This window comes from Homo sapiens, chromosome 5 (assembly GCF_000001405.40).
Source record: "Homo sapiens chromosome 5, GRCh38.p14 Primary Assembly".
In the NCBI taxonomy this organism is placed as follows: domain Eukaryota; kingdom Metazoa; phylum Chordata; class Mammalia; order Primates; family Hominidae; genus Homo; species Homo sapiens.
Window position 1 is genome coordinate 82,167,825 of NC_000005.10, and position 14,073 is coordinate 82,181,897.

The following is a 14,073-nucleotide window of genomic DNA, read 5'->3' on the forward strand; positions in this document are numbered from 1 at the left end:
GGCAACGTGGATTTAAGAGAAGAAATAAGCCCTTCCATCCCAATGTTCTGTTTTTCTCTAACTACTTTTGTCATTGTAGGTTTGGGAGAGGTGGTGGGACACAGTTAATACCCTTTGTCACTCAGGAGAGGGTGAGACATAATTGCACGTCTGTTGAGTAATAATAAATAGCCTACATTGGAATAGTGCCTTATAGTTTAGTAAATCCACTCCCACAAAGCATTGACATCTTCAAGTGCATGCTGTTTTTTTTTTCTTTTTTTCCCACTGTTTTTGAAGCATACCATATTAAAGAATTTTTTGTATCATGCCAAAGCCTTCTATCCATTCCCTACCATTCTTATTCCCTGACCTTTTTATGTCTCATTTTCCCTTTTGAGGGCTCAGCTTTGATCAAAAGCTAGTGGCAAATGTTACAAAGGTGGTAAAACCCTTAGGCACATACATAATGGCCTTTTGCCTTACCAGAGGCCTAGGCTTAAATATTTTCTCCTTACATTTAGCTAGAGATTTCTATATTTATTTCATCTTGAATTCTGATTCATCTCTTTCTTTTCATTTGTTCTCAGTCTCTATTGAAAAATGGACCAAGTGGTTCTTCTTATTTTCAAAACATTTAATTCTTTGGATGACATATGGGTTCTTCTTGGGAGCTGTTTTGACATATTTCTTTAATTAGTCAGCAGGGCTGCATTTGAATAGAGGAGGAATCTTTTCCTCCATTCAGCAAAGGAATGGCTGTCCTTTATGGAGACCATTCTATTATTGGCCCAGGAAAAAAGGGTATAGAATTAAAAATGTAGCCTAAATATTTCATGTGAAAGATTTGTCCACTTGTTGTAGGCCTGAAGGATGCTCATGGAGAAACAGGGCAAAAGAAATAATCAAAGAATAGTTCCTTCTCAAAGGCAGCATGAATCAAACTAAGATAAACGCCATGATAAAGAAAGAATAATGGAAAGTTTGGAATTAAAGCAGCATATAAATCATCAAGCAGGAAAAGGATTGTCTGTGGTTTGCAATAAGAGGACATCTTTGGAGTGCATAGAGGAGAATGACAGCAAAACAGGAAAGATGGGGGTTGGAGGAAGCCGAAGAATAAAAGTAGAATATCCATAGCTCTGTCCAACAACTTGTAGAGGACAGCCACAGGTTGGGTTTCTTGAAGAGGTTAGGAAAAGCACTGTAGAAGGGGAGGAGAGTGAGTGCCAAGCTATGGGGGCTGGAGGGCTGGAGAGAGCCCACCATATTTGGAGAACAGTGAAGGACCAGTTTGGAGTAGGGGCTAACTTAGGATGACTTACGGAAGAAATAGTTGAAAAGATATGTTGAGGTCAAATTATGGAAGAGATAATGGTTAGGAAGGGGTTGGAAGATATAAAGAAAAAGTGAAAGAGTTTGAGCAGAAGTGAATGAGACCAGAGGAAGGATGTCCTAGAAATTGTGCCTGAGTAAAACAGAAAGAAAAGGAATTGAAGGGTGAGAGTGAAATTTGGAAAAAAAAAAAAAAGGATTTGGCTTTTTCATTGTTGTTGTTATTAATTTTATAACAATTTAAAAACAATAACCTCTTAGAGAAAATGAAGAAAATGAGTTGGAAAGAACATATTTTCGGGGAAAGATGTATTATTGCAAGTACGGTAAGAGTTATGGTTAAGGCAGCTTGTTGAATAGGAAGAAAAATAGTGGATTAGAGAAGTATTTTAAGACTGGGGCAAAAACGACTCTAGTTAATTACTACAGTGAGCAGAAAATAGAAAATTATTTGACAGATAATTTAATTTAGAGTCTTAATTGTAAAGAATCTTTAAGAAAGTTTGTGTATTTATATTTATGTTACACATATGTTTATGTAGACAGTAAATCTAGCCAAGGTCATGATAATGAACCATAACATGAATTTTGGTGAATTAAAAAGAGATTCTAGGGATTGAAATGAATTTGAAGAGCAAACAGTGAAAGTTATTTTTAAGAATAATGAAAAGTTATCTAACTAATACAAATATATTCAAACTGAAAAGTCCAAATAACAGAGGAAATCTAGTGAGAATTATTTGTTGAGCCATGTAAATGTTTGAAATATTTTGGGGAATTAGGATAGAAGTCACATGCTGGGTTAGAACATATGATAGCAATAGAATCTCATTGAAAAATCAAGCCCTGTTTTGAAAATGTACTAAAGGAAAGGTGCTAAAGAAATGGGAAGTAAAACTACAGAGATAGCTAGTTAGCCAAAAGGTTTATTCTAAGCAGAATATTGCTTAGCCACATATACAAAAGGCAAGAGATTTTAGTTGGACCCAGAGGCTTGGGAGAGAAAATAACAAGGTAAGTACATTAATTTTATTAACCTGTAAGCGACTGTATTTTAGCTTTCTTAGGTGAATGTTTGTGCCATATGGAAAAAACATCTCTTTGCTTACTATTGGCACAATGAGCCCTGTTTGAAATACCTATTAAAATATACATGAGTGCCTACTGTGTGCACAACACAAATCTCATTAGCCTCTTTTTAAAATATGCTGAAACAAATCACTGCCTAACTTGTAACTCATGTATTGTTTTTCTGCTCCTTCAAAGTCATCAAAGCAGTATTCGAGTCTATATGTTAGGTGCTGTTTTGAGAAGGCAGAGACTGCATTCCATGAGAAGGAGACCAGGTTGGATGGTGGAAGTAAGGGTATTCAAAGTGCTGGTATAGAGTAATATAGTAGTAATAGGTCCATGATGTGGGGATAATGTTTGAGGAAAGCCAGGAATACAAATTACTGAGTATTAATCTCAAGAGTTTGGGATCAAAACCTCAGAATACTTTGGATAGGATTGAAAATAGAGTGTTGGCAGGGCGCGGTGGCTCACACCTGTAATCCCAGCACTTTGGGAGGCCGAGGCTGGCAGATCACCTGAGGTCAAGAGTTCGAGACCAGCCTGGCCAACATGGTGAAACCCCATCTCTACTAAAATACAAAAAAAAATAGCTAGGCATGGTAGCAAGCGCCTGTACTCCCAGCTACTTGGGAGGGTGGGGTGGAAAATCGCTTGAACCCTGGAGGCGGAGCTTGCAGTGAGCCGAGATCACGCCACTGCAGTGACAGAGCGAGACTCTGTCTCAGGGAAAAAAAAAAGAAAACAGAGTGTCTTCTGCTTTAGAACCAGCAGACCTTAGGCTGTAGATATCCAGCTGGTAGTATGGTTCTCAGATTTCTGGATCAATAGTGGTATCACAGGGCTGATGTCTCAGGTATCTTGTGGACCCAATGTTGCTTCCCTTGGGACCATTTTCTGATTCAGAGGTTCATCAAAATGGTCTTATATGTCCTTTACTAGGTTAAGTGATTCACTTAATTTAAATGGAAGGGTATAACATCACTTGCGTTATTCCATGTTTCTTAACACTGTGTGTGGACAGTTTAAGATGATTCATAATTGCTCCTTTATGTGCTATTGGGCATATGTTCATAAAAATAGATTGTAACACACATAAACTTTCTCATGTAATTAAAAACCATGTTAACATCTATTTTTTCTATTCAAGACTGCTAGACAAATATATAACATTTTAAGCTGATAATTTTGAAAATATTTATTAAGCAAGACTTTTAAACCATCTATTTGTGCTATATTAGATGTGTACCCCTGGTTGCAAATAATTTGATAAGCAGGAAAAGGCTTATTGAAGGGTAGATCGTAGAGTCAACTGAAGGTGGTAGAATGACAAGGCAAGGGAATATCTGCCTCCCTTTAGCTTTGGTGGTAGAAATGGGGCTCTGCCTCCTACTTATTTTGGAATTTATCTCCCAAATTGGAAGTGTGTTTGGATACTGAGAAATCACATATCTGCTATAGCTGCATCTGCTTAATGCTATGGATTTATGTGAGTATGAGGGTTTTTAAAAATATAAATGTAAAACATTTAATCAATTAATTTTATTATGATCATTCAGCCATTATTCTTAGAATGTGCTAATTACTCTAGAAATAATGTTGAACTTTCATCTGTTCATTCATTTGAAAATATTTATACATAAGGCATGGATATGTTTCTGAAATGCTGAGATAAATAAAGGAAATCAGAGATGGATAATACCATCAAGGAGCTTACAGTCTAGTGAGGGAAACACAAGATAGGTCTGAAATTCACTATAACAAGTAGAATATGTTAAGGACCATAAGAGAGGTAAAAGGCACCAGGGCTTGGAGAGCTATGACTACCTTGAGCTGTGGTGATCAAGAGAGGCCTTGGCTGGACATGGGATTTGTCCATGAGTGATAGGGGAAAGGGTGAGCCAGGCTTGGGAAGAAAATCATGAAAGGGAAAATTCCAGATACTCATAGGTTAGGCAGTGTTGATGGGGACCACTAGTAATAGTAGCAACAAGAACAATACAACTAATATGCATGTATAACTTTACACTTTACAAAGAACTCCTGTGCACAGAAACACATATAATGTAGTGGTGAAAAGCGCATGGTCTAGAGTCAGAAAACTTTAGTTCTGATTCCTAGCTCTGCTGCTTACTAACCTTATGACCTTGGGCAAGTTATTGAACTTTGCCATTTCTTTTCTTTCATCATCTGAAAAAAAAATTGAGTTAGCAATAATACTGATTTCAGAGTTTCGAGGATCCTGAGCTTATATTGGAAATGGTGCTTGACACTTAGTGCCTTTCAATCATGCTAGCCAAATTATATATCTAGATCTTCACAATAAAATTAGAAGGTAGTAACTATTATTACCCTCATGTGAAGACAAAAACTGCTCAGAGGGGTTAAATTATTTATTCAAGGGTACATAGAAAACTGTAGAGTTGGGACTTAAACTCTATAGCCCATTTTTCACTACATGACACTTTCATTCAAATAACTGAAATTTAAGAACCATATAGGTTAAATTAATTAATTGATGTTATATGCAAGCAAAAGAAAGTTGCCATAGTTCATATTTTTGGAATTTCATTTAGATTTCTTGAGCCCAATAAAGATACAAAGTCCTAAAATGCTTATAGGAATAAATAAAAGTTACAGAATTAGCCAGTATAGTAGCTGAAATGAATGTACGTGAACAATTGCACTCATTTCATATCACAATATAATTTTCTCACTGAAGCAAAAATGAATTTTCCCCTTTGGTGGAGCTTCATCTCTGCCTTACTGTGGAGTATGACATGAATTTTTATATCTTTCAAAGCTATGTTGAAGACAATATATTGAATAATGACATTTTTTGTTGTGAAAAATCTACTCTTTCCTTTTTATTTCTAATGGCCACATTCAGAACATTATTCTTAAACTTACTCTGAATTATTTGTACTCTCTCTAGTCTTCATTTTAGGAGTTAAAAAATGTTAGTGAAACCGTGCACAATAAGGATAAAGGTGACTCCAGCGTGCTTGCACTAGAGTTAGATAGTGCTGGTGAAATATCTCATGCTGTTATTGGCTCATGAAAACTAATAGCCCTGAGAAATTTAATTTAGAAAGCTGCACATTTTGAGTAATATATAGATTACTTGACATGTGGGTTATTATTCAATTGAGAGATTTTATATGAAAATGTCAAATTAAATGCTACTGGCAGTTGCTAAAGATTGTACTTTTTAATTATTCTATTTTTCACCTAATGTCTCTTCTTCTTTTGTCATTGACACTTTAGATTACTGACAGAACATTCCATTAGCTTAAATGTGTATTATCATTCCAAGTGATACAGGCACATAGTAGGCACTCAATAAACACTTGTTATATAAATGACCTCAATTTACCATGCTCACTATGTAGGTTACTACTGAAATTATTTTGGCTTCTACTTCTTTTTCAAGTATTCAAGAGATTTTACTGAGCTACACAGCCTCAATGTGACTAATGAAATTTCTAAGCATGTTAAAATTGGTGCGATTGAGTATCTTGGATCTGAAACGAAGGAGTTGTTGATTGAGTATGCTTATGTCTCCTCTGACTGAGGCCAGATGTAAAAAAATAGACTCTCTTAACATGGTTTAAAGTTTCTCATTGAAGATACTTTGAATTGAACATGCAGGCACATAATAATGTGTTTTATGTACTTAACCAAGTATTTATGTCCGTGTTTTAAGTTTTGAGTCTTCAGTTTTCATAAATAAGTGGATATGTACAACATTCTTCAGGTTTCTACTTTGTTTATATGATGCAGTTCTTTATACATATATAAATATCCCAGTTTGTTTCAGTGGGATTTCTCAAGTATCCATTTTGCTTTTGAAATAATTAGTCACGATCATATTTGAATGCATTTTAGATATTAATAATGTATGCCACGATTTTGAAGATATTGCTGATTAAGTTAGATCTTTTGTTTTTGTATGAAAGATCTCAAAAACTAACTTTTGTGTGTCTTTGATGATGAAGGTGTGAACTGTGACTAGGCAAACCAGTGACGAAGGCTTAGGGAACAGAAACCACATCATACCTCATTAAGTCATTGTTGTCATAGAGACAAAGCTATATTTACCCAGACCTTTTACAGTGTAAGTGGTCAGCAGAAACTGGAGAGATTTGCAGAGACACAGAGGAAAAGCAAAATTATATACTTTTGCCAACCATACTCTGATTACTCAACATATTTTGGGAACTGCTGGTTTTGAAACTTCTTCCAGTCCTTGTGGCTAGAAGTTGGAAGATGGTTACTTATTAAAGGTGAATTTGTTTGGCGACAACAAAATCATTTGGAAGCAAATATATGGAATAAAATAAGTATAATTTTTTTTCCTTTGATTTAAACCTATTTGGGACTAGTAAGTAATTAGTTACTTGTCTGGCTCTGAAGGCAGTTCAAAAGTTCAAAGGCAGTTCCATTGACAGAATTACAGCATTGTTGGAATAAATATTGGTTGAATTTGCTGAATAATCAGGTAACCTCCCTAGGTGACTGTTTTGAGGAACAGTGGTCTTTTGAATATTTAAGACCTGATATGCTTGTTTTAAAAACATGTAGTCCCACCAGGCCTAGCATGCCACCAGCAGGGGGTGCCAAACACAGAACTTCAATAGGTGCTAAAGAGACTGCAGTGGCCCTTGAGATAGCCGTTATGGGCCTAGAAGAAGCAGATATTTTAACAATGGTATTATAATTGCTTGTTGACCTTCCTCAGTTTTTTTAAGGGGGTTAGATTTTGGAAGTTGGAGACCATGGTTTGGAGAGGGTATTCATGGAGGTCACGACTGTCTAAGCCATCTCAACCAGTTGCATCATTGTGGATGTATAACAGACTTGCACTGTTATATTACCAATTTTTCCATTGGTTTCCTCATTTGAAGAGTCTACTTTTCAAACAAAGCTCTGGTTACAACAATCAAAAGCAAGCAAGTTGGTTTAGAAAGTTGGGGTGAGAAGAAAATAGTGCTTATTCTGAAGAAAAAGAAATAAAGCTTTGCCAGGCCTCATTGGGATTGCAGCTAAAGGACTCCACTGAGGTAAATACTTTCCTGGCCTCTTGTCTCTGCCCTTCCCTATATAGCCACATTTTTGTAAAGATGGAGTCTCACTTTGTTGCCCAGGCTGGTCTCAAACTCCTGGCTTCAAATAATCCTCCCACCTGGGTCTCCCAAAGTGCTGAGATTACAGGCGTGAGCCACTGTGCCCAGCTGTTGTTGTTGTTTAAGGTGATGAAAATGTTCTAAAATTGATTGAGGTGATGATTGCACAACTCTACGAATATAACTGAATTGTACACTTCACATGGGTGAATTGTATGTACGTGAATTATATCTTGATAAAGTTATGTGTGTTTTTTTTTAGTCATTGGCTTTAAGTGACGAATGTTAGTGATATGCATGTAGTGCTAGTGATCCCCTACCCAGCCCTGGTGGTCTTTCCACTGGTTGGCACCTCTCCCTGGAACGCTGTGCCTCCCAGTGTTTGCACACAAGTTACTTTCTCACTAAAGTCTAAAATTGCAAACCCACCTCTGGCTGGCACTTCTTAGCCTGCTTTACTTTTCGTTTTCACCATAGTATGTATCACCTCCTAAGATAATATACAGTTTACTTGTTTATTGTGTTTATTGTTTATTTTCACACACACACACGCACACACACACACACACACACCCCAAGGCATAATGTAACCTCCATGAAAACAAGGATGATTGTTTTGCTCACTGATGTATCACAAAGGCTTGGAACAGATGCCTGGCATATAGTAGGTGCCCAATTATATAAAACATCTACTTCTAAAATTAACTTCTATCCAAACCATTTACTCCATACTTACATTGTTGCCTGAAATACTTTAAGGAATAAAATTAAAATCATTACTGATTACCAGATATGAAACCCAGCATTCTTCTCTAGGTCTGAAAAGCTTTATGGTAATAGAAATAAAGTTAAGGAAGGCATTTTTTCATCATTTATCATTTGCTCAGTAAATATTTGTAAAGCATTTGCAGTGCCTCTGCCCTCAGAGGCAGCGTGGACCAGCAGGAAGAGCATTGGTGAGTCCTGAGATCTGGATTCAGACTTCAGTTCAGTCATGAACCGGCTGCATACTTTTGGCAGATACATATTTCGTAAGACCTTGGCTGCCCTATTTATAAAATTAGTGGTTATACTAGCTCTAACATTTTATTATCCTACTACAGGTATTTGTTTACTTCTAACTTTGACGTGTAAAAATTATTTTAAAAGCATGTCGTTCTGTAATTTGATTAGTTTACTATTTGACACTAAAGTTCTTAAGATCTTATTTGCCTCTTCCCACACCAATACACACACACACGCATGCGCACACAGACACACGCACACACATACACATATGCATGCATGGCATTTGCATATTTCAAAGATGCATAGTGCTTAAGAGCAGAGTTTGGCCCTACTCTGTAAATGTGTTCAGAAAACAATATAACACAGATACTGAAGGCAGCTTGTTTTTAACTTGTAGCTAAACATGACATTCAAATGTTAATTGGATGAATAAATCTTGTTCATTTTACAGACATGGAAATGTCAATGGAATAAAACTATTTATCACAAGATAATGGTCTCCTGCCGCTAGATAAATGCCAAGATGAAGATACTTATTGAAAATGTATCAAAATATTCTATTGCTATTTATTGAAAATAAAGGTTGAGGAAAAGTTCAACTTTTTAGGTCAAACATGAGAAATGCCCTGCTTATAATATTAGTATGGTACTATATCAAAGATGATATGCACGGTATAGCAACATGGGAAAATTCTAAGAAATAACAGTCTAGAAATGAATCTTTTAGGTTTGAGAATTACTGGAATAATTGTGTGAGGGCTGGGAGGAGATTCCTGATATTTATTGAGCTCTTATTGTGTGCCTAACACAGTCCTGGGTGCATTCACTAATGTAAGCCTCAAAAGAACAATACCCAGAAAGGATCATTATTCTCATTTTGCAGGTAAAGTTAAAAGCAAAATAATTTGCACTCACATGGAGAGTAAGTGCCAACACCAGGATTTAAAACTTAGTCCAGATTCCAAATCTAGTGCTTTTTCCCCCAACATCATACATTTCTACTTATACTTGAAAGTCTTAATACAGTGATTTTTGGAGCTCTTGAGTAGATTATTTTCCTTATGCTTTGTTGCCCTTGATGACCAAATACTTCTTTGGTCTAAATATTCAGTATATTGCTATGTGAAATATCTTTAAGTGATATCATCCATTAGCCCAAAAGAGCACGCCCATAAGTCTTGAGGGCCTTATAGCTCTGAATGGATCAAGTTATATTGGATTCTAGCATTAAGACACCTTCTTTCCAGTAGTGTATGGTTTGAAATCTTTAGGTGACTTCTTCTTTCTGCTTTCTTTTCAGAACTTAGATACCTATTTTTCCACTTTACTTACCTTGTGTATAATGTAAGTGCCATAGTGGTCTTTGTAAAATACATTGTTTGGGTGGATACAGAGGGATAATTGAAACAACTTAAAGAAAAAGAGCATTATTGTTCAATAAAGCTTTTACTGCCCTCTTCATGCCAACCCCGTTCTCTTGTCCTTCCCCACCCCAAGAGTCCCTTTCTCCACCTGCCATAGACACCAAGTGTTAATATCTCTCTTCCTTGGACCATCAGTGAGCTTCAGTCTTCTTCAGGCAGAGACCACTCTACTGTAATATACTTGTCATAGTTTCCTCAGTAGATGTTAGGCTCCTTGTTAGGAGAAATTGCGTGTTTTTCTTCTCTCTATTCTCCATGGTACCTGATGGAGTGATTTGGACATTATAGATACTCCATGAGAATGTGAAAGATGCATGGGTATGGCTTCTTTGTTTTAAGGACTAGAGTAAGTATGAAGGATTCAGAGTATTCATGGTGCACCTTTATGAATATGGGAGTCTGTTGGTTCCTTTGCCTGTGCTTGCATCTGTCAGTTCTCTCTAAAACACATTTGGATTTTATTTATTTTGTAAAATTCCTAGAGGCAATGAATGAGCAGACAATTTAAATGCTAGATGGATACAAAGCTGAGAAGCTTGAATGTTTAAATTTCCCTCAGGAAGAAAATAGTAATTCATATAGCACTCTCTTGATATATAAATAGCATGTGCACTGAAGATCTTTCTAAAAGTCATGATATTCTTCCAGGAGTTTTAGATTGACACCAAGCACCATTGTGTCACATGAATTACTAACTCAGTCTTTACCATGCACTTTCACAGATGGGAGACCTTTAACTCTGAAGGACATATGGGAAGGAGTTCATGAGTGCTATAAGATGCGACTGCTACAGGGACCATGGGACACTATTACGCAACAGGTTGGAGAGTATTGTCATTTTATTGTATGCATGTTATTGTATTCTTTCCCGCTGCTCATCTTTTCTGCTAGTTCCCTCTCCAACTCTTTTCCCTATTTCACTTGTCTATATCTTTACATATTTCACCTCAAAGACAGTTTCCTTAAAAAAAAACCTTCCCAGACCCAGTCTTGGTTTAGCCACCCTATTATAAGCTCTCAGAGTGCCCTATAATTATCCTTTAGAATGCTTATTCCAATTTTAAATTACATATTAGGATGATTTAAAAAAATTGATGTCTGTCTTCTCCACTATACAGATACTCCTTGACTTACAATGGGAATACATCCTGATAAACCCATCGTAAGTTGAAAATATCTGAAGTAGAAAATGCATTTCATACACCTAATCTACTAAACATGAAAGCTTAGCCTAACCTACCTTAAATGTGCTCGGGACACTTACATTAGCCTACAGTTGGACAAAATCATCTAACACAAAGCCTATTTTATAATAAAATATTGAATAGCTTCATGCAATTTATTGAATACTTGACTGAAAGTGAAAAACAGAATGGTTGTATAGGTATCAAAATATGGTTTCTCTTGAAGATGTATCACTTTTGCACCATGATAAAGTCTAAAAATTGTTAAGCTGGACCATCCTAAGTCTGGGACTGTCTGTACTGTGAGCTCTCATATAGGCAGACCATGTCTCTTTTATTCTTCATTGTACATGCAGCACCAAAACAGTACTTATCATGTAGTATGTGCTCAATAAAAATGTATTAAGCAAATGAAAATAGAAACTAAGTTGGCTTATATATTAAGAAATAGATGATTTGGCTTATGTAATCTATACTGTTTTACAGTTTTACTCATAAATACATTTGCAAAAAAGAAGAGCTTTTGATTAATAATATGGTTGCAATAGTGATTTGCAAAAGTAGAGAAAATAGATCTGCAAAAGTAGATATAAAAAGTAGATTTGCAAAAGTAAAGGAAATAGATCTGTCAATCATGTAAGTCATTACTGCCTTGCTAAAATCAGTAGTTATTTTGGAAATTTAAAACTACTCATCACCTTGCAACCAATCATCATCTCCTTAAAAATAATTTTTACTTATATCAAAAATATTATTTTTTCCAAGCTTCTGTTCAGCTAATGAAAGCTTCCTTTAAAAATGAGTTTATCAGTTATTAGAATTTTTATGCCCTCTTATGTGTTTGATCATAATGACAGTTTACCTCCCAATCAACATAAGAATCCTTAGCATCTTGTAAGTGGTTCTTTAACAATGACCATTTTCTAGGTTTTAATTGAGGACAAAACTAGCTTTAGGTATTTGTATCTTTCACACTGCCCCTCAAATTAATCTTTTCTCTTCCCACTGTCACCCTCCTAGATCAAGCCCTCTGACCTCACGTGGAACAATTAGTAAAGCCTCTTACCTGTGGTTTTCTGCTCCTTTCCTCTCTGCCCCTTACCTGTAGTCATATCTTTTTAACCACTGCTGTGCTTACTTACCTGTGCTCAAACCTGCAATAGTTCTCCGAGGGCCTATGGGATGTGGTCTAAATGCTTTGCCTGGGCATCAGAGGTTGCCACTCCCTGGTTCCAACCTGCTCTTCTAGGTTTATCTTCTACTCCTCTGCTCTATACAGCTCTTGCCAAATATGGTTATTCATCTCTCTATACTCCTCTTGTGCAGTTTGTTCTTGTGATCTTTTCTAGATCTAATGCCTTCCCTCATTTTTCTGTATGCATTACCTGTTACTACCTGTCCTCTCATACATTCCCTTCTCTGAAACCACTTCAACTCACAAAAATTGCCCCTCTGAAATCCAAATCTGTAGACCAGGCATTGGTGGTGCTGTGAAGAAGGATAATGTGAAATATGAGAAAACCAACCCTAAAGATTTGGCAAGAACATTTTATTTTATACAAACTATTTTGGATTAACCTTTAAGTATGTCAAGATGAGTGCTAAGAGTTCCAGCTTCTAGTGTCTTGTCAGTGGCCACAAACTGTACAAAAATTTGTATTGTAGAGTCCTTATCCACAAGACCCAGAAAATGTTTGGTTGTAAGAGTCAAGAAAGATGGCAAAAGATAGAGGAAAAATATATTCAAAAATATATGTGTATTTAACTTTACACCCATTTATCAACTCTTTCTCAATTCCATTATACTCTTGAATCCAGTTCTTACCATTTTCCTTTTCTGCCTCTAGCAGATAATTAATCTCCTTAATGCAGGCCTGTATATAGCACAATTTCTAGTGGTCTGTGATATTTTATATTTTAATTCCACGTGTCTTTGTTCTGACCCATGACATAAGAACAAGATTTTGATACAATGTTGACATAGATTTCTTTTTATTGATAGAACTCTTACATTGTTAAACTCACCACTGAACCAATCTGTATATAGATTATTTTTAATAGAATTGACGAATGTCTTTCATTTTATAGTTATTTCACTGTCACACAGCCTATTAGTGTACCATCTTTTTCCTCCCTATCGTAGTACGGTATTACAGATCAAATCCTATCACAACAAGCATTACTATTTCTAACACTAAGGCTGGGGCTCACTTAATAGGAGGGATATTTGATATAACCACACTACAACACAACTATAAAACTTAGGTGGTCCTTTGGAATTGATCTTATTGGGATTTGATCTGTGAACAGATATCCTACTTCTAATAACAATGTTTATTTAAGCTTTAAAATTGCTCATCACAGTGCGTGTCGAGGCATTACAGACCAAGTAGGGGAAACTCATTTGCAGCCATTGCACTACTTGGCATTTGAAAATCATCATGAATATTTCCTTTGGAGATCTTGGCTTTTAATCCCAGATTGGTTAATGGGTTGGTATTTATATCCTCTTCTTTGCTTGAGATCTTTGGGAGAATGGGTCTTCATTTTTTAGTACCACATACAAAAGAAAACAAGGTGTCCTCAGTGAGATGGAGGGGGAGAAGATGATACAGCACTAGGGAAGAATGGGCTGATAGAATATTGGTGGTGTTGAATAGTAGACACCGTTTTGCAGAATTATACTAAAGAATCATTAGCTTGCGGACTGAACATGATAATAATATGCTGTCCTCCAGAGTGGCTTAAAAACAAATGCAGCCTTTGCATAATATAAAATGCATTTCACTTCATTTTCAGGCCTGATTGTGCTCATATAGTTTGTTGCTCTTCATCTTTAGTAATCACACTTCTGTTCTTTCAGCATTTGTCTTGATGATAAGGACCTATTCATGTCAGATGTAAACCCCCTCTTTTGAAGATAAGCCACTCATAAATTTCATACAT

General features: G+C 36.1%; 1 protein-coding gene across 14 annotated transcripts in view; it reads left to right on the plus strand.

Moving 5' to 3' along the window:
* The window catches only part of ATG10 (autophagy related 10), a 284,111-nt gene that overhangs the window by 195,802 nt on the left and 74,236 nt on the right, over nt 1–14,073 (plus strand). For all 14 annotated transcript variants that reach the window (XM_047417800.1, XM_047417803.1, NM_001131028.2 and 11 more), the window contains one exon: nt 10,666–10,763. In XM_047417800.1, coding sequence (XP_047273756.1) covers nt 10,666–10,763 — 98 coding nt within the window. The remainder of the gene's footprint in view (nt 1–10,665; nt 10,764–14,073) is intronic.